The sequence below is a fragment of the Homo sapiens genome, chromosome 17, assembly GCF_000001405.40.
Source record: "Homo sapiens chromosome 17, GRCh38.p14 Primary Assembly".
In the NCBI taxonomy this organism is placed as follows: domain Eukaryota; kingdom Metazoa; phylum Chordata; class Mammalia; order Primates; family Hominidae; genus Homo; species Homo sapiens.
Genome location: NC_000017.11, coordinates 48838623 through 48865683, shown reverse-complemented (window position 1 = coordinate 48865683; position 27061 = coordinate 48838623). Strand labels below are relative to the sequence as shown.

At 43.3% G+C, this 27061-nt stretch overlaps 1 protein-coding gene across 7 annotated transcripts in view, besides 1 other annotated feature; it reads right to left on the bottom strand.

The window, feature by feature from the left end:
* Positions 1–438: 438 nt before the first annotated feature.
* Positions 439–27061, bottom strand: part of CALCOCO2 (calcium binding and coiled-coil domain 2) — a 34211-nt gene continuing 7588 nt past the window's right edge. The window contains exons 2-14 of one of the 7 annotated variants that reach the window (NM_001261391.2): positions 23797–23986; positions 19588–19650; positions 17518–17620; positions 17229–17362; positions 16307–16432; positions 14507–14595; positions 14056–14125; positions 13056–13178; positions 12672–12758; positions 9497–9592; positions 5235–5370; positions 3380–3408; positions 439–2846 (exon numbers count right to left, since the gene is read on the bottom strand). In NM_001261391.2, the coding sequence (NP_001248320.1) occupies positions 2679–2846; positions 3380–3408; positions 5235–5370; positions 9497–9592; positions 12672–12758; positions 13056–13178; positions 14056–14125; positions 14507–14595; positions 16307–16432; positions 17229–17362; positions 17518–17620; positions 19588–19650; positions 23797–23976 (1404 nt within the window). In that variant the 5' untranslated portion in view covers positions 23977–23986 and the 3' untranslated portion in view covers positions 439–2678. Of the gene's footprint in view, positions 2847–3379; positions 3409–5234; positions 5371–9496; positions 9593–12671; positions 12759–13055; positions 13179–14055; positions 14126–14506; positions 14596–16306; positions 16433–17228; positions 17363–17517; positions 17621–18996; positions 19016–19169; positions 19242–19587; positions 19651–21657; positions 21677–23796; positions 23987–27061 lie in introns of those variants that run through there. The other 6 variants (NM_001261390.2, NM_005831.5, XM_047435100.1 and 3 more) reach the window with 6 other exon arrangements.
* Positions 23855–24044: an enhancer, noted in NCBI's record as "active region_12340". NCBI's record gives its function as "activates an Ori minimal core promoter by ATAC-STARR-seq in GM12878 lymphoblastoid cells {active_cell/tissue: GM12878}" and the evidence as "EXISTENCE:reporter gene assay evidence [ECO:0000049][PMID:35858748]".

The following is a 27061-nucleotide window of genomic DNA, read 5'->3' as shown; positions in this document are numbered from 1 at the left end:
ACAAGTACAAAGATTCAAAAATTCAACTCAGATAACTATTTGCTCTCATAACTTCCTATTTTTTGCAGGTATTTTACAGCTATATAATGTGTGGGTGCGAGGGGGATGGAGGAAGGCCAGGGTGGGCAGTGGGTTATATAAGAACTATTGTTGGCTGGGCGCAGTGGCTCATGCCTGTAATCCCAGCACTTTGGGAGGCCGAGGCCGGTGGATCATGAGGTCAGGAGATCGAGACCATCCTGGCTAACGCGGTGAAACCCCGTCTCTACTAAAAGTACAAAAAATTAGCCGGGAGCGGTGGCGGGCGCCTGTAGTCCCAGCTACTCGGGAGGCTGAGGCAGGACAATGGTGTGAACTCGGGAGGCGGAGCTTGCAGTGAGCGCCTACTGCACTCTAGCCTGGGTGACAGAGTGAAACTCTGTCTCAAAAAAAAGAACTATTGTTTACTACTAGTGGCTGCCTAGAGCATAATTTCCCCCTTCAAAGCCTTGGTAAGAGCAGCTGGGGATAATGAACAGTGGTTAAAGATGCTTTGTTTTACACCCAGCAAAAAGGGTCATTAACACCTCAACTGGTTTTTTTACCAAGCCCTGTGGAAGGGCTCCTGCTGCTGTTGACAATCATGGTAACCCTCGGGGTAGCAGGGGCAAAGGGGTGGGTAATTCACCAGAAAATGGTATTCACTGATTTGGATTATGTGCACCACTGTTCCTCTCCATTCATGTACTTAATTAAGAGCTGACTGGTACAAAATAAATGAAACTGCAATTCTTCACTGGATCTGGGGAGCAACAGAAATTCTGTAGGGAGGGTATGTGCCAGAAAAACTCCTTTATTACCATCTCCCTATTACATTTCTATTCTAGGGTTAGTGTTAATCTCAGGTCTTATTCTTAAGACAGCAAAAGGCTTGGAGAAGTAGTGTAAGTTTCATCTTCATTTTATCAAGGATGAAATCAAAGCAAGGAGCTGTGACTAGGACAATACAGTTAGTCTAGGGCATAACTCCCAACCACATTAGGGAAAGCCCAGTAGGAACACAGAGCTATAGTTGGCTCAACCCTTATTCATGACATCGTGTTTCACATCATTCAAAAGTTTTTGTGGAAGTCTCTGTAGTGACCACCTGATACTGCCTGGGAGTTATTTCCATTTGTTCAGTCCCTGAGGGGATAGAAAATGGAATTATTACTTTCTTATAGTTCAATTAGGCAAATTTGGATAGAGCGCATTGAACTTAGTTCACAAAGGGTGCGAAAATCCACACTGCTCCTTTTAAAAAAAATGCATGGAAAGTTACAGCAAGAAGTCAGGGCCTCGGGCCCAGCACAGTGGCTCACGCTTGTAATCCCAGCACTTTGGACGGCTGAAGTGGACAGATCACGTGAGGCCAGGAGTTCGAGACCAGCCTGGCCAACATAGTGAAACCCTGTCTCTACTAAAAACACAAAAATTAGCTGGGCATTGCGGCACACACCTGTAATCCCAGCTACTTGGGAGGCTAAGGCATGAGAATCGCTTGAACCTGGGAGGCAGAGGCTGTAGTGAGTCAACTGCGCCATTGCACGCCAGCCTGGGTGACAGAGAGAGACTGTTTCAAAAAAAAAAAAAAAAAAAGAAAGAAAGCAAGCCAGGGCCTTGGATTTCACAAACTAATGTTTCATCACCTCCTTCCCCACCTCAAGATAACTGCCAGGACACTCTTTTTTATTTAATCTTAAGACAGGTGAAGAGAAATCATTGGCGGGGTCTGCCCTTCCCATAGCCCTTTTGATCACAATTTTCCCATGAGCTTCAAAACAGAAGACCATAAATTGAAGGTTTATTTTAAATTACCTAAGTCCCTGAAATAGAAGAGTAATTTATTTTTAGTATTAAAGAGATTAACAAGTTGTCTCATTATTCTGATTTACCCATATTCAAAACTCACCTACTCAGAAAACTGCAAACCCATAGTTGCTAACAATCCTATTTAACCATTAAGAAAGGATTTACAACAATAAAAGCTATGTACATAGGAAATATCAGAGAGTAGAAAGTGCTAACCAGAGGTACCCAGAAAAGCTTTCTGTGACTGAAACAATACTTCCTGTCTAAGGTTCAGGAGTAAGATGCTTCTTTGGGGGCTGAGAAATTAACATGAGAAACCTTTGGTATCCAAATTGGATTTCTGAGCTCTTTGCCACGGCATTTTTGGCTAGTCTAAAACAATCATTTGGAGAAAGCAACACCAAGGATGAGGAGGAAGGAATTCTCAACCTCGGACCAATCTCTGGCCCCAGGGTTAGGACTGAGAACAAATACACTCAAGGGCTGACTTTGAATGGCAGTGGGACAACTTGGAAAACTAATCACTTAGTATCAAGTCAGGCCTGTTGTGAATACCCAGGTTGGCTCCATCCCAGGGCCCTTGTACTGAGACCCTCAGAAGAATGACAGGTGAGAGGATGATACAGCTAGAGTTATGCGACTTAAAGGTAGCAACCCACAAGGATGGCAGCAGAAGCCCTTAACAGTGACCTTCAGATCAGTGACATAACTCCACTGTTAGCGGCAGCAGGGCTGAGTAAATCCCTAATAATTTCAGGTTAGGCAGGATCTTGACTCATATAACTCATGGTAGAAGCTATAGGTTCTATTCTATAAAATCTCTGTATACATCCAAGAGGTTGGGATACTCAGAGAGAGTGGCAGAACACGTGGTCTTCAAAGATCTGCTTCTCTGTAGCTGGGAAGATCTTGTCACAAATTGGACAATTGAAACAAAGGGGCTGCATCTGCTGTTGCTCCAAGGTGTGATCACAAATATCATCTGCTTTGCAGATAGGGCATTTCTTGATGGAGAGCTGGGAGGAAGAGCAAAGAGGTCAGTACAAATGTAAGCTATATGTGGCACAGATGTGGCCATCCTGTCTTCCACTGTATCCTCAGTGCCTAGCATAATGACTGGCACATGGTTAGGCACTCAAGAAATAGTGAATGAATGAAGAGAATGCACATTTGAAGATGCTTACCAGGCTTCGTCTAACCCCAGAATTGAAATGGCCTAATATTGCTGAAATAGCCAACATAGCTTCTAGCCTTGAAGGGGCATTGGACAGAACTTGTTTGGCTAGCTGCCTGGTTCAGATCTCCTCCCTACTTATGCTACCAAATAATTCAAAGGTATAGATCCTAAGCAAAATGCTGATGGATGAACTGTGCTTTCATCTCCCTTCCACAACAGGCTGGCTCAGCCTTGGGCCCAAAACAAACTGATCCAGCTGACTTCTGGAGTTATCAAAATGAACCTGTCTCCCTATGGTTCTCCCATGAACTGGAGCAGGAAGGGAAATTTTCAAGTGCTTTGTGGGAATATTCTCATGAATCAAATACTTACCGGGCTGGGGGAAGAACTTTCTTGGATACCTGAAAAGAATAAAAAAGATCTCATTCAATGAGAAAATACCATCCCTAGCTTCTCCAACTGTGTTCTGGCAGATATTTCCTGTAACTTTCATTGTTCCCTTTCTCCTCAATGCCTCTGATTCTTTCTCTCTCATATATATACCGTTACTTCTGATAGAGGGGATCTAGGTCAATGATAAGGTGAAAAGAAAACATAAATAATGAAATCGTATTTTTTTTTTTTTTTTGAGACAGAGTCTCGCTTTGTCGCCTAGGCTGGAGTGCACTAGTGTGATCTCAGCTCACTGCAGCCTCTGTCTCCTGGGTTCAAGCAATTCTCCTGCCTCAGCCTCCTGAGTAGCTGGGATTACAGGTGCCTACCACCATGCCTGGCTAATTTTTGGTAGTTTTAGTAGAGACAGGGTTTCTCCATGTTGGCCAGGCTGGTCTCAAACTCCTGACCTCAAGTGATCCGCCTGCCTCGGCCTCTCAAAGTGCTGGGATTACAGGAGTGAGCCACGACACCCAGCCTGAAATTGTATTTTCATTATTTCAAAATAAAATTACAAATGAAAATTGTATTTTCATTTCACACACACACACACACACACACAGGCTTTATATATATATATATACACACACACATATATATATATACATATATATATATGTTATACAGTCAGAAAAAAACAACAAAGCTATTTTCAGATTGGGGAAAATGAGATTTTAATAAAAACAGTAACAATTTAATGACTATCTGAGAATAGGTTTTAAGACTGTATCCACAGTCAGGTACGATGGCTCACATATCCCAGCACTTTGGGAGGCTGAGGTGGGTGGACTGCTTAAGCTCAGGAGTTCGAAACCGGCCTGGGCAACATGGCAAAACCCCATCTCTACATAAAATACAAAAATTAGCTGGGTGTGGTGGCTGGCGCCTTAGTCTCTGCTACTTGGTAGGCTGAGGTGAGAGGATCAGGTGAGCCCAGGAGGCGGAGGTTGCACTGAGGTGAGAGGATCGGTTGAGCCCAGGAGACGGAGGTTGCAGTGAGCCAAGTCCACTACTATGCCCAGCTAATTTTTGTATTTTTAGTAGAGACAGGGTTTCACCACGTTAGCCACGCTTGTCTCGAACTCCTGACCTCAGGTGATCTGCCCGCCTCGGCCTCCCACAGTGCTGGGATTACAGGTGTGAGCCACCGCGCACGGCCACAAACTTATTTTAAAGGAAAAATAAACTTGTTGCCTGTTATAAACATCTGGTTGTAACTCTAAAGATAATACTGCTGCTTTAACTGTCCCAAAAAGTAAATGAGATCTCATATTGCTTTTGGAGACAAATGAGAAAAGCTCCCTGTTTGGCAAGGACATGTTACCCCAAGTCCTTTTCACCCCCATTTCCTGTCCTACCATCGAGGAGTCTCTGTGGAGCACGTTTCTGTCATCCTTGGTTAGCCATCAGGGTGGCTGCTGTAACTGCTAGTTCCTGGGCGGCATAACTTGCCTCTCTTGCTACCATTTCAAAACCTTAATTAGCTTCCTCAGCTTTGTATGTGTATATCTTCTACATAAAGACATTTCTCTGATTTACACATTTGGAATATAGCCACGGGACTCAATTTGTGTCTGCTGCCTCTAGGCGAATGATCTGATTTGTGTCTTCTGGATTCAGATTTATTTCTCAATTAACACTTCTCGCCTGGCAATCTTTCTACTGGGTCCTCAGCTTCTGCCCAGCAAGTCTTAACAATGAGACTGGTCTTAATTAGCACCTCAGAAACAAAAATTTAGTAGGGGAAAGGGATGCAGGCAGGGTCCTTCCAGTTGGAATGGGAAAGTTGTCTTACCAGAATATGGGTTTCCATAGGCAAGTCCTGGATTTTGTCTTGCGCCTCCTTCATCTGAAGTAGGTACTTGATACGGCAAAGAATTAAAATCCAGACCCATGTAACTGAGCAATCTGCTGTTCTCCCTCTTCAAAAGCTAAGGATAGAGGATTTATAGACATGTTGAAAGACAATACCAAGAATGGCCACCAGGAACTGGCTAGGAGATGCCCCTCCCAGGTAGTTCTCAATTAGCAATGTGGCACTGGAGAAACTCAATAATTGATAATCCATAATTCTTCAGAAGAGAAGGCAGCAGTTTCAATATTCCAAAGATCTAAGTTCTTTATACCTGAATTTATTTATTTATTTATTTTGAGTCAGAGTCTTGCTCTGTCACCCAGGCCAGAGTGCAGTGGCACCATCTCGGCTCACTGCAACCTCCGTCTCCCAGGTTCAAGTGATTCTTGTGCCTCAGCCTCCCAAGTAGCTGGGATTACAGGCACCCACTACCACGCCTAGCTAATTTCTGTATTTTTAGTAGAGACGGGTTTCACCATGTTGGCCGGGCTGGTCTCGAACTCCTGACCACAAGTGATCCGCCCGCCTTGGCCTCCCAAAGTGTCGAGATTACAGGTGTGAGCCACTGTGCCCAGCCTATACCTGAATTTAAATATATTTACTACATTTTGTTTATATTAATACAAAAAAGTTTTAAATCTCTAAATACATGCCAACTACAGGGAGGAACAAATATGTAGATATATGAAAGTGGCAGGAGCTATATTAACACTGCAACTATTCTGATAGGTATATTAACGTTGAAACTATTGTATATTATTATTGTTGTTGTTAAATTTGTTTTTTTTAGAGACAGGGTCTTGCTTGGTCACCCAGGCTGGAGTGCGGGGTGAGATCATAGCTTACTGCAGCCTTGAACTCATGGGCTCAAGCAACCCTCCCACCTCAGCCTCCTTAGTAGCTGGGACTACAGGCACACGACACCGTGCCTGGCTGATTTTTAAATTTTTTGTAGAGATGAAAGGCTCTTGCTTTGTTGCCCAGGCTGGTTTCAAACTCCTGGCTTCAAGTGACCTTCCTGCCTTGGCCTCCCAGTGTTGTATATTATTGAGAGCAGAATATTTTTTCAGTTTCTTTCCTAGAATAATTTCTTACACAATGCAAATATTCACCTAAAATAATTTTTCCTTCTTCAGGTCTTATCCCATTCAAATGGATATATCAACACAGAGAATGAGTAAGAAGACAGGGTGGGAGGGAGGTAATGAAAAAGAGAAAAAAATTACTAAAAGTGGCACAGACAGCATTTCAAGTTCTTAGGAAAAAGAAAATAAGCAAAATTCCCTTATCATCTTAAGAGGGCTTTACTACAGTTCTTTTTTTTTTTTTTTTTTTTTTTTTTTTGAGACAGAGTCTTGCTCTGTCGCCCAGGCTGGAGTGTAGTGGTGCGATCTCAGCTCACTGCAACCTTCCACTTCCCGGGTTCAAGCGATTCTCCTGCCTCAGCCTCCTGAGTAGCTGGGATTACAGGCATGCACCACCACACCTGGCTACTTTTTTGTATTTTTAGTAGAGATGAGGTTTCACCAGGCTGGTCTTGAACTCCTGACCTCGTGATCCACCCGCCTCGGCCTCCCAAAGTGCTGGGATTACAGGCGTGAGCCACAGCACCCGGCCTACAGTTCTTAACAAAGCTTCCAAATACCAAATCTTTCCCTTTGTTTTGCAAACTGTGTGTGCACCTGCCCCCCCCCACAATCAAACTAACTCAGGAAAACAGGGATTTCAAACTCAAGGTATAAATTAAGAGAATGGGAATAGGCCGGACACAGTGGCTTATGCCTGTAATCCCATCACTTTGGGAGGCTGAGGTGGGCGGATTGCTTGAGCCCAGGAGTTCAACACCAGCTTGGGCAACATGGTGAAACCCCCTCTCTACTAAAAACACAAAAATTAGCTGGGTGTGGTGGTGCGCACCTGCAATCCTAGCTACTCAGGAGGCTGAAGCACAAGAATCACTTGAATCTGGGAGGTGGAGGTTGCAGTGAGCCAAGATGGTGCCACTGCACTCCAGCCTGGATAACAGAGCAAGACTCTAAAAAACAAACAAACAAACAAAACAAAAGCAAAACAAAACAAAAAAGAGAGAATGGGAATAACAAGACTAGAAAGAGAACCCAAAAAGCCTTCTGCAATTATGAAACACATTGGCATAAATGATATAATCAAAAGTAGAAAGTGAGGGAGAATTAATGTTTTAGTAGGTATGAAGTTTTAATGTTGCAAGATGGAAAAGTTCTGGAGATCTGTTGCATAGCACTGTGATGCACTTAACTCTACTGAACTGTACACTTTTACATTATTAAGATGGTAAAATTCTATTCTATTCTATTCTATTCTATTTTCTATTCTATTCTATTCTATTCTATTCTATTCTATTCTATTCTATTCTATTCTATTCTATTCTATTCTATTGATGTAGTCTTGCTCTGTCAGCCAGGCTGGAGTGCAGTGGCACGATCTTGGCTCACTGCAAGCTCCACCTCCTGGGTTCACGCCATTTTCCTGCCTCAGCCTCCTGAGTAGCTGGGACTATAGGCGCCTGCCACCAAGCTCGCTAATTTTTTTTTTGTATTTTTAGTAGAGACGGGGTTTCACTGTGTTAGCCAGGATGGTCTCGATCTCCTGACCTTGTGATCCACCTGCCTTGGCCTCCCAAAGTGCTAGGATTACAGGCGTGAGCCACCGCGCCCAGCCAAATTTTATGTGTTTTAACCGCAATTTTAAAAAGAAAAAAATAGTAAAAATGATCACTAGGAGGCATAGGCCAGAAGGATTATAGAGGGTAAAGATCAGGAGGTGGAGGTTGTAGTGAGTCACGATCATGCCACTGCACTCCAGGCTGGGCAACAGAGTGAGACTCCGTCTCAAAAAAAAAAAAAAAAAAAAAAAGGGCCGGGTGCAGTGGCTCACGCCTGTAATCCCAGCACTTTGGGAGGCCAAGGCGGGTGGATCACCTCAGGTCAGGAGTTCGAGACCAGCCTGACCAACATGGAGAAACCCCGTCTCTACTAAAAATACAAAACTAGCCAGGCGTGGTGGCAATTGCCTGTAATCCCAGCTACTCAGGAGGCTGAGGCAGGGGAATCGCTTGAACCCGGAAGGTGGAGGTTGCGGTGAGCTGAGATCGTGCCATCGCACTCCAGCCTAGGCAAGAAGAGTGAAACTCCGTCTCAAAAAAAAAAAAAAAAGGGTAAAGATGAAGAATTGATGGAAGTATAGATACAGGAGTAGCAGCCAGAATGCATGGACACCTATTATTTGATGCTGAGCAAGAACATGAGAATGGGCCGGGCGTGGTGGGTCATGTCTGTAATCCCAGCACTTTGGGAGGCCGAGGCAGGAGGATTGCTTGAGCCCAGGAGTTTGAGAGCAGCTTGGGCAACACAGCAAGACCTTGTCTCTACTAAAAATAAAAAAAAAATTAGCCGGGCATGGTGGCATATGCCTATAGTCCCAGCTACTTGGGAGGCTGTGGCAGGACGATCACTTGAGCCCAGGAGATCAAGGCTGCAGTGAGCCAAGCTTGTGCCACTGCACTCCAAGCCTGGGTGACAGAGTGAGACCTTGTCTCAAAAACAACAACAACAAAAAAAGAAAAAAAAAAAAAAGAAAAGAAAGAACATGAGAATGACCTTGACTTCAAGTACAACCACTTTATTTTTTGCCATATCATCTTCAATCAATAATAAATGTTGGTTGGATGAATGAATGAACCAATGAATGAATGAATGAATGAATGAATGAATGCACAGCATTTATTAGGGGCCTACCATGGGTCCAGCACTGGTACAGACCACCACTTCTGCTCCTGGTTTGGCAGCAGAGAAAAAGGAAAAAGTTGTGCTGAAGAAAAGGAGTTCCCCACTAGCATAAAGTTATGTAGGACGTTATTCCCCTATCCCCCAAGGCAACATATATTAGCTGTGAAGTTAAAAGCAAAAATAAGTTAGGTCTTCATCAGTGTGGCTTCTTTCAAGGTGACTATTGCCATGCCAAACAAATTTCAGTTGTAGAATAAAGACAGGGTTTTGTGGTAGATTAGGAAATTAGATTAAATTTACTCTTCGTTTAGGAACAACTGTTTCACCCACTGTCCCAGAAAGGGCCCTTAACTTTTTATTTTTTTCACTACATCTCTGGGCCACCCTGATCCTTCCCCTTAAAACCTTGGGGTTTTATACCCTCTTTCACACACTTACATCATTTTCTCCTTCCAATCTCTCTTTCTGTCTCTGCAGAGCATTACATATAATTTCGTTCTCACTCAGTCTTTTTGACAGGTCAAAGTTTTCATCCTGTCAACAATAAAAAAAATTAGGATTAGGATCACATATTGCAGTCTGGGTACAAGGTGAGAAATTGTAGAGAATCTGGCATTGCAAAGCGGGGAGACTGAGATGGAGGAGAACGCAACTGGGAGGAAGAAATGGTACTATGGGCAGGGTGCTAAATTAAAGTGACTTAAAAAGACACCTGAAGGCCTGAGCTGGCATCAAGATGCCAATTTTTTTTTTTTTTTTTTTGGTTTAGCTGAGGGTATAAGTGACCAAGGAGGGAAAAAGCAACCTTGGGGAAAATCTCAAGACTGACTTATCAGAATTAGGGATAAATGAAACCTTGTTGAATCCCACCTAACCATGAAAACAATAATCTTTGTTTTGAATAAACGTCTCACTCAGCGAAGCCTGAAGCACTTAGGTTTGGGTTAGTGTGATTCCTTCCTACAGTGTGAGAATAGGCATCTCGGCTCAAGTTACATGAAGGAAGAGGGAACACAGGAAGGCATTTGTCCAAGGATACAAGGAGCTCAGACTGGGGCCATAAGCAACCCAGTGTGATGGGTTGACCTAACTGGTTTCATGCTTCAGAGCTTCCCATCTTCTACCTGCATACATACACATGTGCATACCTCACAAACACACTTAAGCTAAGCCTACTAGTTGTGGTTTTTCATCCAAGATTTTTTATTTGAATGCTGGTGCCCAAACTGCTGTGCATGTCTAGCCGACCCTGAGGTAGTAATGCCAGAGGGGGCTACCCAGTGACAATGCTGACTGCAGGCTCCTTGCTTCCCATCCCCGTTGGCTCCTGATGGCTCTTCTAGTCCTGCTTCACTTCCTCAAAAGGCAGAAATAAGAAAGGGCTCTCTGAGTCTGCACAGAAACCTGCTTGATAGTTACAAAAACCTTCCCTGAGACCTGTGGCTAAGTTGGGGCCAGTATTTCCAGGGACCCCCATGCTAGTTTCTGGCCATACACTACATCCCTCTTTTTAGTGCAAAGATAACTTTCTCACCTTAACAAGGGTGTACCATTTTCTGGACTTGGTCTAAGAACCACTAACCTTTGCACCTCTTGCTTTCCTGGGCCCCCTTATCTCTGTCACCTACCAGTGCAGCCGCCCCGAGTTGGCTGATCTGTTTGTGAAGTCATTGACACTCTTTGTACTTCTCTAAGAAATAGGCTTTCCTGGCCTCTACCTTTGCCTTAAGGCGTTCCACCTCTTGTGCTAACTGCTCCTCCACAGTTAGTGCCGCTTTCTTGTTCCTAGGCTCCTGAAGCATAAGATACACAGTACTCATATTTAGCGGCCTTTTAGGATGTATGAGGAATTAGGATTGCTATCAGCCAGGTGGGGAGCCCCTAGGTCTTGAAAAATATTCCATGAAAACTAAGAAAATTGGCCGGGTGCAGTGGCTCACACCTGTAATCCCAGCACTTTGGGAGGCCGAGGTGGGTGGATCACCAGAGGTCAGGAGTTTGAGACCAGCCTAGCCAACATGGCAAAACCCCGTCTCTACTAAAAATACAAAAATTAGCCGGGCATCGTGGCGGGTGCCTGTAATCCCAGCTACTCAGGAGGCTGAGGCAGGAGAATAGCTTGAGCCCGGGAGGTGGAGGTCGCAGTGAGCTGAGATCAGGTCAGCGCACTCCAACCTGGGTGACAGAGCAAGACTGTCTCAAAAAAAAAAAAAAAAAAAAAAAAAAAAATATATATATATATAAATAAAAGAAAACCAAGGAAATCCATACCTATCACAAAGAGGTTCAAACCTTTTTTTTTTTTTTTTTGAGACGGAGTCTCGCTCTGTCGCCCCAGCTGGAGTGCAATGGCGCGATCTCAGCTCACTGCACCCTCCGCCTCCCAGGTTCAAGCGATTCTCCTGCCTCAGCCTCCTGAGAAGCTGGGATTACAGGCGCCCACCACCATGCCCGGCTAATTTTTGTATTTTTCGTAGAGACGGGGTTTCTCCATTTTGGTCAGGCTGGTCTCGAACTCCTGACCTCAGGTGATCCACCTGCCTCCGCCTCCCAAAGTGCTGGGATTACAGGCGCGAGCCACCGCACCCAGCCGGGACTATAGATCATTTAAAACAGTAATTTATTTGCTACATCAGAGGTCACAAACTGGAATGTGCCTATAGAGAGCAGGCAAGAAATGTAATCAAACGAAGGAACTGAATGCAATAAAACAGTGCAGACTGCAGCTAGATGGAGAATCTATAGGGACAGCAGCTACTCAGCTCTAGCTATTGCTGCTGCACAGGAATGTGGGCTCAATGTTGCTAGGTCCCTTCATTTCCCAAAGGAAGTTGGAAATACAAATTTTTATGGGAAATATTCCTATTTTTAAATGTTGGTAACTACTTTCTAAAACATTTCTGTGGTCTGACCTTGACCTATGATCTGCTGATTTGCAAACTTTGTTCTACTCTTTCCTATATCATGCTAAAGCATACAGTATCTTAGATACAGTAGGTACTCAATGGTTGACTGGATGATGCATATATGATGTGAATTATAATCAGATGACTGGATATCCCTCAGACATCAGGATTACTCATGTCCTTGGATCAACTAAGTAAACGGGGCTTCCAGGCACCTGTCAACGCCCTGGGGACTCTTTTTCAACAATATATTACAGGAAATTATTAGTCAATTAGCCTTTCATTCCTACATAATTGATAATGATGATAATTGCTAATATATTAATTATAACAAGATTTGCTTTGGGTGGTATATTTTCCTGTCGTAGAGCCCTTTATAACCATTCATTTGTCTGCCCCTATTGTAACTCTGTAAGAAGAGGGTAGGGGTTATTCTGTGTGAGCCCTAGTCCAAGGATCTAGTTAACTACATCTTGTCATGAAGTTTAACTTGCAATATTCCTTTATTACTTATCACATATTAGAAATGCCCACTTCTAAACATTTTATAAATGGCAGATTCTCTGTCCTTTTGGCTAGAAAGCAAAACATCTAGAGGTGAACACTCTCTTATTTATCCTGTCCATCAACCGGAAAATAGGCCCATATCCTTTTCTTCTACATCCCTATAGGCTCCCTCCCACATAACCATCCAAAGACAGACATGCCATTAATTCCTGTTGTTTCTTCATTGCAGTAGTTTCATTCTGCTTCATTTGCTCCACTGTCTGCTCGAGCTTCTTCTGGTCCTTCCTCTGCACAAAAAGAGATTTCAGTACCATTGCTGGGAAAACACACACATGCACACACACACCATGGAAGGGCCTGCTAAGCTAATGAGCAAGCAGGATGCATAGGGAGAGGCAAGTCTTCTCTCGTCAGTTTCTGAAGAAAGCCATGAGCTATCTCATTTCAGATAGCTTCCTCTGAGCCCTTTCCTAAAGCCAGTGACATCCAGGTATATTAAAGAACATTAAAATGTTCTTTATACAAAGAACAACGTATATTTTCTTGCAAATGCCTAAAAGTGTTGTTTTCTCTCATGACTCTACCTGTTCAGTTAAACTGAGAAAGAGGTGGTCATTTTCCTTTTTCAGCTGCTCTAACTGCTCTGTCTTATCTTGATCTCCCTGAACAAGCTTCTCCATTTCTTTCTCTTGAGTTGACAGCTGGGCCTAAAACAAAAATAGTGAACATAACCAAGATATAAAAGAAGGAAAACAAAACAGGAACAATGCTTTTTAACGTACAATAACAAAGAGATGTGTTTCCCTAGCAACTCCCAACTGCCAACTGAGTAAAATTAGACAAATCACTCTTTAAAGCACCTCTTTAAGGCATAGCTTCCTAAAAATGAGAGCAGTTCTGCTATCTGCTCTATATTCCAGACTTTTGAGTACGATTTTGCTTGAAAAGATTAAAGTTTGATTATTGATATAGATGATTGTCATCTATATTAAGAGCTCATGGTAAACTACCTTAGTAATACATGAACAAATCACTAAGTTCCTTGTGAATCATGATTTTTTTTTTTTTTTCTCTTGAGACAGAGTCTTGCTCTGTCACCCAGGCTGGAGTGCAGTGGTGCAATCTCTATTCACTGCAACCTTTGCCTCCGGGGCTCAAGTGATTCTTCTGCCTCAGCCTCCCGAGTAGCTGGAATTACACGTGCGCCTGTAAATTAGCACGCCCAGCTAATTTTTGTATTTTTAGTAGAGACGGGGTTTTGCCATATTGGCCAGGCTGATCTCGAACTCCTGACCTCAGGTGATCCACCTGCCTTGGCCTCCCAAAGTGCTGGGATTACAGACATGAGCCACTGCGCCCGGCTGTGAATCATGATTTTTTTTTTTTTAAAAGCAGGGGCATGGGTAGGGTGGAGGCTTACCTGGTCCAAGAATGGAAAATACATAACCTGAAACTTTAGTGTGATACTTTGAAAAGTATGCCATTAGGCACTCACTGCAATGAAATACATCTTTCTAGGCCACCAAATTGGAGCAGTGGTAAGGCTAAGAAAATATCCTTTGACAAACATATGGCATTACCTACCTGAAGCTGATCCACTCTGATTCCCATCTTCTCATTTTCTGAGGACATCTTCTGGTTTTGTTCTTTCAGTCTGTAGAGGTGGAGATAACTATGTGAAAAATTCACTGATTCCAGGTCAGCTACCCCTGGCCTTAAGTGATTTAAGGCTGGCTTGGCCCTAAGCCTGCAGAATTATTTAAAAATCTACTAGTCTCCATTGCAGTCCTGTTTTGGCTTCCTGACTCCAAAAAACTGCAAGTATTCAATCCCTAAAGTTAATATTTGAAATCAGATCATTTTTCCTGACTATTCTGATACCAATTTTCTAATTCATGATTCAAAGGGTGGAGAATCACATCATCAATGTCATAACAGTGTTTTCTCACAAATTCCAGAAATCTAATCTGACTGTACTTAAGGGTACTGATGGTACAGCAGCTCTTCCCCTCCCAGAATTATGGGATGCACTCACTGAAGCAGCTCTGTCTCCCAATAGTCCTTCTGTTCTTTCACTTTCAGTTCCAACTTCTTATTGATGCTCTGTAGGGTTTCTAGCTCCTCCTATAGATTGAAACAACATCAAAGGGACAGACTAGTTCTATGACTTTTGAATGAGTATCTTAGGCAGGCAACAAATATTTATTGAGCACTTACTATATGTCAGGCATAGCATGACACAGCAGTAAATGAAATACTCAAATAAAAGGAAAATGTTCTTTTTTTTTTTTTTTTAAGACAGTGTCTCACTCTATTGCCCAGGCTGGAGTGCAGTGGCGCAGTCTTGGCTCACTGCAACCTCTGTCGCCCGGGTTCACGCAATTGTTGTGCCTCAGCCTCCCAAAGTGCTGGGATTACAGGCATGAGCCACTGCGCCTGGTCACAAAATGCTCTTTTTATATTAAAAATGCATCACCTTAATTTCTCATTCCACTGGAGCTTATAATTTGTTCATTAAACAAATATTTACTGAGAGCCTATTCCACACTAGACACTGTTCTTGCATTGCAGACACAACAGTGGACAAAATAGACAGAACTGCCCTTTTCCTAGAACAGCGCTGTTCAATAAGTGAGAGCTACATATAATTTTAAAATCTTAGGAGGCACATTTTTAAAAAGGTAAAAAGAAACAGACTAATTTTAATAATACTATGTGTATGCATATATATATATTTTTTGTTTTTAATTTTTTTTGAGATAAAGTCTTGCTCTGTTGCTCAGGCTGGAGTGCAGTGGCGTGATCTTGGCTCACTGCAATCTCTGCCTCCCGGGTTCAAGCAATTATCTTGCCTCAGCCTCCTGAGTAGCCGGGATTACAGGCGCATGCCACCATGCCTGGCTAATTTTTTTTTGAGACAGAGTCTTGCTCTGTTGCCCAGGCTAGAGTGCAGGGGTGTGATCTTGGCTCACTGCAACCTCTGCCTCCCAGGTTCAAGCAATTCTCCTGCCTCAGCCTCCTGAGTAGCTTGGATTACAGGTGCCTACCACCATGCTTGGCTAATTTTTGTATTTTTAGTAGAGACGGGGTTTCACCATCTTGGCCAGGCTGGTCTCAAACTCCTGACCTTGTGATCCACCTGCCTCGGCCTCCCAAAGTGCTGAGATTACAGGCATGAGCCACCACGCCCGGTCTCCTGGCTAATTTTTGTATTTTTAGTAGAGACGGGGTTTTGTCATATTGGCCAGGCTGGTCTCGAACTCCTGACCTCAAGTGATCCACCCATCTTGGCCTCCCAAAGTGCTGGTATTACAGGTGTGAGCCACTGCACCTGGCCAAATGATAGTATATTTAACCGAATGTACCTAAAATATCATTTCAACATATGAACAATTAAAAGGAGATATTCAGACAGGGACGGTGGCTCATGCCTATAATCCCAGCACTTTGGGAAGCTCAGGCGAGTGGATCACCTGAGGCCAGGAGTGCGAGACCAGCCTGGCCAACATGGTAAAACCCTGTCTCTAAAAAATATAAAAATTGGCTGGGTGTGGTGGTGATCACCTGTAATCCCAGCTACTCGGGAGGCTGAGGCAGGAGAATCGCTTGAACCTGGGAGATGGGGGTTGCAGTGAGCCAGGATCGCACCCTTGCACTCCAGCCTGGGTGACACAGTGAGACTCCATTTCAAACAAACAAACAAAACTAATGCCTGTTCAAAGATACTGGTATAAGAAGGTGAGATCACAGGCAAAACAGAATATGGTGCTGGATAAGAGGCACCATCCAATTCTGATCTCCATGCTCCAAGGTCACCTATAACCAGCAGCCATACCTGCTTCTTTTGGAGCTCAGCCTGCATGTCTGAGTTCTGCTTCTGGAGGCTGATACAGCTGTCCTTCAGCTCCTGGTTTTCTTTGCAAAGCTCCTTGTTGTGCTGCTCAATCTCTTCCACCTCTCCCTACAAAAGAACATTCCATAAACTATATTCCAAGTCCCTCTAGCAGAAAATTCCCATAGGTTAGGATGGTGAGGGACTGGCTGATTCCCATTCACTGCAGTGACACCTATGTATCCCAGATGGGGGCTGCTCCTTAATACCTAGGTAAGGGTATAACAGAGGTATGTCTTTATAATTGCAGCAATACCAAGAAAGGCAAGCAAAAATTATATCCATTAAAATTAAAAGGAACAATGATATAAGAATGTAGCTTCTTCTTGCAGACGCTTAGTATTGTTTGTCTCTCCCAATGGACTTAGCTCCTTGAGGCCAAGGACAGTGTTTTAACTGATTCTTCATTGTGTTCCCAGTGCCTACCATAGTGCTGGATGAAAAGTAGGTGTCCTGTTAAATGATGAAGTAAGAAAATGAATCTAATACTCACGTATGACAGACAGGCTGTAGGCCAGAACTGAAAGAGATAAGAATATTTGGTGCTTCTCTCCTCAAAGGAGCTTTTACATTTACCATTGTGATAAGATGTGTAGATGACAAAAATTAAGCAATTGGAAAGTTAAAAGAATAACTGAATGCCAGCTGAGTTAAAGAAGTTTTAGAAAAGAAGAAACCACTTATTGTTATGAGTCTTGTTAACATTCCGAAGTCATTCCTGAGTGAGTCTGTGTGAGTACTACATACATTTTTTCCAATGATACCCGTTAGATATTCAATAAAGCCTTATTAACTCAAATTCCATCCTATCCTATATTGCTACCCGTAATGGCAGTAAGGGATTGAGGTGAGAAGTTTTACAAACCTGAGTGGTAACAACCAGGATGTCTTCCTCATTTTCTGGACGGAATTGGAAAGGAATACTTGCTCCCCGGACCACACCATCCTCATCCACATAGCAGAACTGGTAATACTCATCATCCTTGGGCAGGTAGTAAGCTGAAAACACAACATAATTTTTCATCCAAAATAAGATCTATTCAGAAAAGTAAAATTCTGGAAATCTTTTTATCTGCCCCAGAAAGCTCAAGCTGAAGGGAATTAATTAGTCTTGGCTACTGTCTTCAACACCTTTGATCCAGTATTTTTCTCACCTTTGAATTGGACTTCCTGCTGTTTAGCTGATTTGTTGTTTAGGTCAATGGGCAAAGTAACCCACATGAAGGTGTAATACTCACGGGTTGTCTTCCACCCCACCTGCAATGACAAGAAGTTCTTATTTAGTACCTGAAAGGGGACTGGGGAAAATCCTAATTGGGCTACATCTTCTTAAAATCACTTTTTATTTGTATATATTGAAAATATAGGCCGGGTGCAGTGGCTCATGCCTGTAATCCTAGCACTTTGGGAGGCCAAGGTGGGTGGATTGCCTGAGCTCAGTAGTTTGAGACCAGCCTGGGCAACATGGTGAAAACCCGTCTCCATTAAAATACAAAAAATAAGTTGGCACGGTGGTGTGCGCCTGTAATCCCAGCTACTCAGGAGGTTGAGGCAGGAGAATTGCTTGAACCCAGGAGGCGGAGGTTGCAGTGAGCCGAGATTGCACCACTGCACTCCAGCCTGGGTGACAGAGTGAGACTCCGTCTCCAAAAAAAGAAAAAAGAAAATATAATAGAATGAGTTCATTATGACAAGATTCTCACGCCAGGGCTCAAACCTTTTTTAATTTTTTATTTTATTTTTCACTTATGACAAATACATATGGGAAAATGTCTGATACAACCAAAAATTGGGGTGCACATACACAGCTCAAAATACAAGTCTTAGAAGGATTTGAAAACTAGCTCCTCACCACCCAGGAAAAAAGCTCCAAAAATTCTATCTACAAGTCAGAGATAGAGCTGAGACTGATTTAAGGGGAAAGTTGCGGGAATATGAACCCTGATCCTCTTACAATGGCATTCTTTGGACTTCTAAATCAGAAATCACTTCTGACCTGCCCTCTCTATTGGTGTGTCCTCTATTGTGTCCAATTAAGCCTTGTCATATACCAACCTGGATATACTACTGCATTAAAAAAAAACCCATTATTTTTCATAATGTCTGTGTTGGGGGCAGAGGGAGAACAGGGTTCTTAGATTATGAGGCACCAGATAAGAGATTCCAGGTCTATATAATTTTTTTTCTTCATGCATGCTTAATGATGGCTTTTTGGTAATAAAGATATTAACAACAATCTGGTAGTCGTAAAGGCCTCTTCTAGGTATTGAATACAATAAATCATAAGACATAAGGATGCAGCAAAACACGCCTCAGAGCAGAAAGCTGGCTAAGTGGAAAATATTCTCACAAATGTGAAGGGGGTAAAAGATTGCTCAAATCTTATCTAGAAAATAAAAGCACACCAGAGAATAGAAAGGAAGCTATTGTGTCTTCAAGGGGACAACACTCAGCAAATGAGAAGCAAAATTACATTTATTGCCATATTTTGACCCTGTCTGAGCTCAGTAAGAAGAGAACTAAAAATAAATTCCATTTTTATATATTAAGGAATCAAAGCAGGGTTGAAAAGTCTATACCAAAAACTCATCAGAACATCCTAGGGCATGTTTTAGAGTCTCATTAATACACACCCCATTGCTGTAAGCATCTCAGAGCCACTGCAGCCTGCGGTGGTACAGGAAGCAGGAATTTTATGGAGTCCTCATTCACATCCTGGAGTTTCTTAATGCACTGTGACCAAAATATCATTGGGAAGGCCTAAGAATTATTGCTGCCTTGGAACAGGGAAACAACTTCTAGCCACCTGCAATTTCTGTCCTTGGCTCCTCCATTTGAGTAGTTCTTGTTCCAATTTGTCTTGGAAACATTTAAATGCCTAAGTCAAGGAGAGTATGAAGCATAGGATTATACACTGAGGGAAGGAAAGCAGACTGCTTCCTGCTTTAGGCTCCATCATTGGTGGTGGCTTTCACTATAGAGAAGATGTAACATATTTGTATGTATTAAAAATATTTACTGACTGGGCACAGTGGTGCATGCCTATAATCCCAGTTACTCAGTGGCTGAGACACGAGAATCACTGGAACCCAGGAGGCAGAGGTTGCAGTGAGCCCAGATTGCACCTCTGCACTCCAGCCTGGGTGACAGAGCAAGACTCTGTCTCAAAATAAAATAAATTTTAAAAAATAAATAAAAAATAAAAAGAGTTACTGAGTACCTACCTGGTGCCAGATACTACCAGTGTCTGGGGTGATGAGGAGTTGAATAGTCTGATTAAGACTACACTGAAAGAACACTGGGGAGAGCATTTGAGGTGAGCTGCAAAGGACGAAACTTTACAGCCAACTCTTCATTCTCTAATTTACTATCTGTTGCTCAAAGGAATTCAGCAGAGTAGAGGAGGAAAAACCAGAGGTTTGGGAGCCAAACCTGCTTCACGGCTTATTCACTGTGAGGCCTTGGGAAAGTCACCATCTCTCAGGGATATTCATGTTACTTACTTATGCCCAAGAGATACTACTACCCACCTCAGGGGGCTACTGCACTGTGAGAATTTTTCTTTCTTTTCTTTTCTTTTTTTTTTTTTTTTGAGATGGAGTCTCGCTCTGTTGCCCAGGCTGGAGTGCAATGGCATGATCTTGGCTCACTGCAACCTCCGCCTCCTGGGTTCAAGGGATTCTCTTGCCTCAGCCTCCCAAGTAGCTGGGATTACAGGCATGTGCCACCACGCCTGGCTAATTTTGTATTTTTAGTAGAGACAGGGTTTCTCCATGTTGGTCCGGCTGGTCTTGAACTCCCTAGCTCAGGTGATCCACCTGCCTCGGCCTCTTAAAGTGCTGGGATTACAGGCATGAGCCACAGCACCTGGCCCACTGTGAGGATTTAATTAGGCAATACACACACACACACACACACACACACACACACACACACACACACACACACAGTGAGGATTTAATTAGGCAATACACACACACACACACACACACACACACACCCTCAACATAGGCCTAGCATAGTGTGTCCTCAGGGTAGGTATTCAAGTCAATAGCTTTATGGACAAGGGACATTAGAAGCCCTTCTTCAGATTAACGATTATTTCTTTATTGGGGTATGGTAATACCTCTGAAATGTATGAAGCATTCCAAATATAGATACATCTTTAAAAAAAATTTTTTTTTTGAGATGGAGTCTTGCTCTGTTGCCCAGGCTGGAGTGCAGTGGCATAATCTTGGCTCACTGCAACCTCTGCCTCTTGGGTTCAAGCAATTCTCCTGCCTCAGCCTCCTGAGTAGCTGGGACTACAGGTGGGTGCCACCACGCCTGGCTAATTTTTGTATTTTTAGTAGAGATGGGGTTTCACCATGTTCGCCAGGCTGGTCTTGAACTCCTGACCTTAAGTGATCCATCTGCCTTGGCCTCCCTCCTGGGATTACAGGCGTGAGCCACCGCACCTGGACAAAATATTTTTAAACACTTGTTTTTAAAAGGCCCCAGATTGGCCGGGCGCGGTAGCTCACGCCTGTAATCCCAGCACTTTGGGAGGCTGAGGTGGGTGCATCATCTGAGGTCAGAAGTTCCAGACCAGCCTGGCCAACGTGATGAAACCCTGTCTCTACTAAAAATACAAAAATTAGCTGCGCATGGTGGTGGGTCCCTGTCATCCCAGCTACTCGGGAGGCTGAGACAGGAAATCGCTTGAACTGGGGAGGCGGGGTGCCTGTAATCTCAGCTACCTGGGAGGCTGAGGCAGGAGAATCGCTTGAACCAGGGAGGCAGAGGTTGCAGTGAGCCAAGATCGCGCCATTGCACTCCAGCCTGGGTGACAAGAGCAAAACTCCATCTTAAAAAAAGAAAAACGCCCAAGATTTTCATATGATATATGGTGAAGTCTTTACTGGTGGTTGCTAAGCGCTTGGGGGAATACAACCAGTCTAAGCAAAATAGAAATATAACGATGTTCCAAAAAGAAAAAAAAAAGACGTTATAAACTACGTTTTAAAGTCTGGTAAGTAATTTTTGAATCATTCTCTTTTTCATGATCTGTACCTGCATTAACCAATGATAGCCACTAGCCACATGAAGCTATTTAAACTTTAATTAACATTAAGTAAAATTTAAAATCCAGTTACTCAGGCCGGGTGCGGTGGCTCACACCTGTAATCCCAGCACTTTGGGAGGCCGAGGCAGGCGGATTACCTGAGGTGGGGAGTTCGAGACCAGCCTGACCAGCATGGAGAAACCCTATCTCTACTAAAAATACAAAATTAGCCAGGCGTGGTGGCACATGCCTGTAATCCCAGCTACTCGGGAGGCTGAGGCAGGAGAATCGCTTGAACCTGGGAGGCGGAGGTTGCGGTGAGCCGAGATTGCGCCATTGCACTCCAGCCTGGGCAACAGAACGAAACTCTGTCTCTAAATAAATAAATTAAATTAAATTAAATCCAGTTACTTAGTCACACTAACCACATTTCAAGTGCTTAACAGCCACATGTGGCTAGTAGCAGCTGTACTAGACAGTGAAGCTACAGCTCCATTGCAGAAAACTCTTACCAGGCAATGTGACCTATACGCTTTGCTACATATGAGGAAGAAAAACAACTACCATCTTCTTTCTAAGACAGAAAACACTCTGGTGGGTTGGCACGCCTTTTAGTCTGATGATTCAACACCTTGCAGTCTCAACAGCTGTCATGATACTTGCCAGTGTCCTGCTGGTTGGCCACAATCCCTATCTCCAAACACCAGTCTTGTTACCTCCAGCTTCCGTTGCTCATCAATAAGCTTGATGTTCCAAACAATTATGGAAAAGGAATTCAATGAAGGATATAAATAAGCAACAGCTCCTTCACAGTGCAGTTGAGAATGGTGTCTGATTTCAGGATGAATAGCACTGGCAAATAGGCACATGACATACTGAGGTGTCAAACCAAAGGTCACTGACGTTGGGAGTTGGCAGTGTAAATTAATTAAATTTGACCTTTATTTCTTGTCTCTGGAAATAAGAAGATTTGTCATTATGGTGTATGTGAGATGTATAAGAGGGAAAGACACGGATGGGAGGGCAAAGGGGACATAGAGAGTAAGCTAATTAAAATTTAAAAATACCATTCTGTACTTGAACTGACGGGGTGATCAGACACTGGAAGAGGTCACTAAGAGAGCTCATAAACTTTCAGTCCTTGGAAATCATTATAAAGTAGTCAGACGCACTTATTCAGGAATAAACTTTTTGGATACAGGATGTCAATATCCTCAATATCCTTTCCAGATTTGAGGTATTTGTATCAAAACAAACTAAACATCATACCAAGTAAGGAAGTAATGTTTAGTCTCAGAAATGACATATGAGGTCAGCCATCTCAGTCAAGTCATACATAAATATTTCAAAATAGGATCATGTAAAAAGCATTTAATTTGGGAGGCTGAGGCGGGCAGATCACAAGGTCAGGAATTCAAGACCAGCCTGACCAACATGGTGAAACCTGGTTTCTTCTAAAAATACAAAAATTAGCAGGGTGTGGTGGCATTCGCCTATAATCCCAGCTACTCTGGAGGCTGAGGCAGGAGAATCGCTTGAACCTGGGAGGTGGGGGTTGCAGTGAGCCGAGATTGCACCACTGTACTTCAGCCTGGGCAATGAGACTCCGTCTCAAAGAAAAAAAAAAAAAGAAAGAAATCAGTTAGGCATTGTTCTGCATACCTGTAGTCCCAGCTACTGAAAAGGCTGAGGTGGGAGGATCACTGAGCCTGGGAGGAGGTTGAGGCTGCAGTGAACTACACTCCACTCTGAGAGACAGAGCAAGACTCTATCTCAACAACAAGAAGCAAGTATTTATATTTGGTTTTTGACAGCATAATAAGGACAGGCGTGGTGGGTCACGCCTGTAATTCCAGCACTTTGGGAGGCTGAGGCAGGCAGATCACCTGAGATCAGGAGTTTGAGACCAGCCTGGCCAACATGGTGAAACCTCGTCTTTACTAAAAATACAAAAATTAGCCAGATGTGGTGGCAGCTACCTGTAATCTCAGCTACTCGGGATGCTGAGGCAGGAGAACTGCTTGAACCCGGGAGGTGGAGGTAGCAGTGAGACAAATCGTGCCATTGCACTCCAGCCTAGGTGACAGAGCAAGACTCTATTTCAAAAAAAAAAAAAAAAAAAGAAAAGAAAAAAGCAAAAAAAAAAGCATAACAAAATTTGAGGATTATATGATTTGCCATCTTATTTTAGCTTGACACTGAAATGAAAATTTGAGTCCCACAGCACACATTAATGTGTGAAGAGAGAAGTGCTGTGGAGCTTGGCTAGAATTTAAAAACTGCCAACACATATTATACAAAATGCTTATAATACACAGAGAGTCACACAGTTAGGTAACTAAGAATCACCTCTAGTTCCTGATCACTTGGTACTGAATTAACCACTTACTCTAAAGATGCCAATCCAATCCTTTCGACGAGGGATGAAATGCTGGGTGAAGGTATAATGACATGTGACGTCCCCTCCAGGGATGTAGAACTTCTCCACACTGTTAAAGATGACCTGAGAGAAATGACAGTGATCCAGCAAGACAGCTGATGTGGGGGGATCTTTGATGGTCTCCTCCATGGTAGGGGTCCTGTTATGAAATGTGGAACAGAGTAAGGCTCAGAAAGCATTGTCTGAAATGTTGGTGATTTCTGGGCTTTCATCCAGGGAACATTCTGTGCAAAGCAAGTCAGGAAAAGCAAAATCCTGACAAATACTGAGATTACACAACTTGCTTTCTGTTTCACTTCGAGCCATCTCAGTCACAACTTCCTATGCTACGAGAATTTTCTGACAATATCTTTAACTTCTTCACCACAGGCACCACAACCCTCACATGAACAGAGGCTTATAGCTACTTTAGTTCCCCTTTCTCTAAATGACTTAAATAAGCAAGGCAGCCTAGATAAAATAGCCTGAGCTGGGAACTGTTAAATTCTAGATTTTTCATCCCAACAAGCCCTATGACTTTAGGAAAGTCCATCTCTCTGGATTTCATCTTCTATATTCAATCCCATTTATCCTATAATTATCAGGACCTTCCATACATAAGATACTCTGCTAGGACCTGGGGATGGGAATGAGAGAAAATTATTTGACATGCAGTAGTGACAAGCATGGGTTCTAAATTAGAATGGTGGCGTTCAAATTCCAGCTTCACCACCTATTAAATTTGTGGCATTGGGCAATTTATATAATCTGCTGGCTCTGTGCCTGTTTCCTTATCTGTAAATTGGGGCTAAAAATAACATCTACCCCATTTAGTTTTTTGTGAGGCATAAGTGAAATAATGTAAGATGTCCAGCCCTTAAATCAGTGTCTGCCATTGTAGGCACTTCACACAAAGTTGATGCATGTTGAATGACAAAGTACTTAGCACAGAGTCTGCATAAAGGGTTTAAGAGACGTTAGTTATAGTTAGTTATATAGTTATTACTGTTGTAGTTGTGGGTTTTTTTTTCCTGGTACAACCTTAAAAAGGGTCCCAATCCAATAGAGAGGATAGAGGAGTATACAAATGACTGCCAAATGAATCGAATAAGAAGTGCAAAATGCTCTCGGGTTCAAAACAGGGAGAGATGCAACTGGTTAGGAAAATAAAGAAAACTTCAAGGAATGAGAAGAATCTTAGATTAGCCCTCAAAGAGGATTAGGATTTCGACAAGTGAGTTTTTGAGTGAGGGCATTCTAGGTGAAGGAAACAGCATGAGTAACAACAAAGAAACAGAAAAATGCAACCCACATTTGGAAGACAGCAAACAAGTTTGGATCCCTAGCTATAAATGGGGATAATACACTGTGTTTCACCTTTCTAGGTTATAGTACAGATAAAATGTGATCAAGAATAGGAAAGTTGTGGCTGGGCACAGTGGCTCACACCTGTAATCCCAGCACTTTGGAAGGCAGAGGCGGGTGGATCTTTTGAGTCCAGGAGTTCATGACCAACCTGGGCAACATGGCAAAACCCCATCTCTACAGAAAACTACAAAAATTAGCTGGGCGTGGTGGTGCTCACCTGCAGTCCCAGCTACTCGGGAAGCTGAGATGGGAAGATGGCTTGAGCCTGGGAGGTCTAGGCTGCAGCGAGCCAAGATTGTGCCACTGCACCCCAGCCTGGGCAACAGAGCAAGCCCCTGCCTCAAAACAATAACAATGACAACAACAACAACAACGAAATAGGAAACTAGGGTAGTGCATGCCTGTAGTCCTAGCTGTTCAGGAGGCTGAGGTGAGAGGATTGCTTGAGCCAGGAGTTCAAGTCCAGCCTGGGCAATATAGTGAGACTGTCTCTATTAAAACAAACAAGCAAAAAAAGCCAGGCATGGTGGCTCACACCTGTAATCCCAGCACTTTGGGAAGCTGAGGCAGGTGGATCACCTGAGGTTAGGAATTCGAGACCAGCTTGACCAAGATGGAGAAACCCCATCTTTACTAAAAATACAAAATTAGCTGGGCGTGGTGGCACATGCCTGCAATCCCAGCTACTTGGGAGGCTGAGGCAGGAAAATTGCTTGAACCTGGGAGCGGAGGTCTCAGTGAGCCAAGATCATGCCACTGCACTCTAGCCTGGGCAAGAAGAGTGAAACTCCGTTTAAAAAAAAAAAAAAAAAAAAAAAAGCAAAGCAAAGCAAAGAAAAAAGGCCGGGCACTGTGGCTTACACCTGTAATCTCAACACTTTGGGAGGCTGAGGCAGGTGGATCACCTGAGGTCAGGAGTTCGAGACCAATCTGGCCAACATTGTGAAACCCTGTCTCTACTAAAAATACGAAAATTACCCGGGCACGATGGCAGGCACCTGTAATCCCAGCTACTCAGGAGGCTGAGGCAGGAGAACCGCTTGAACCCAGGAGGCAGAGGTTGCAGTGAGCCAAGATCATGCCACTGCACTCCAGCCTGGGGGACAGAGTGAGACTGTCAAAAAAAAAAAAAAAAAGAGAAACCATTTTGGAGTCAAAAACAGTACATAAAGGAAACAAAGTGGGCCGGGCACAGTGGCTCATGCCTGTAATCCCAGCACTTTGGGAGGCAGAGGTGGGTGGATCATGATGTCAGGAGATTGAGACCATCCTGGCTAACATGGTGAAACCCCGTCTCTACTAAAAACACAAAAAATTAGCCGGGCGTGGTGGCGGGTGCCTGTAGTCCCAGCTACTCAGGAGGCTGAGGCAGGAGAATGGCAGGAACCCGGGAGGCCGAGTTTGCAGTGAGCCAAGATTGCCAGATTGCGCCACTGCACTCCAGCCTGGGACACAGAGTGAGACTCCGTCTCAAAAAAAAAAAAGAAACAAAGTGATTTTAATTGTTGACACCTAATACTTCCTGCCCCTTAAACAAATCACATGCACTGTTTTCTAAATGACTAGCTGGTCTAACATTTAGTGAGTCCGTAATTCTCAATTTAGGGTTTTACTAGGACATGAAAAAAATATTTCAGTTGTACACAGAAGATGAAGAAAGAGCTATACACATGCAAATACTATATAATATCTTACAAATTCAGCTATTGGTATATGCTGGAAGATTGTGTACACATACAGGCACACATGTAATTGTTATATATATATATATTTTTTAAGACAGAGTCTCGCTTTGTCCCCCAGGCTGGAGTGCAGTGGCGCGATCTCGGCTCACTGCAACCTCTGCCTCCCAGGTTCATGCCATTCT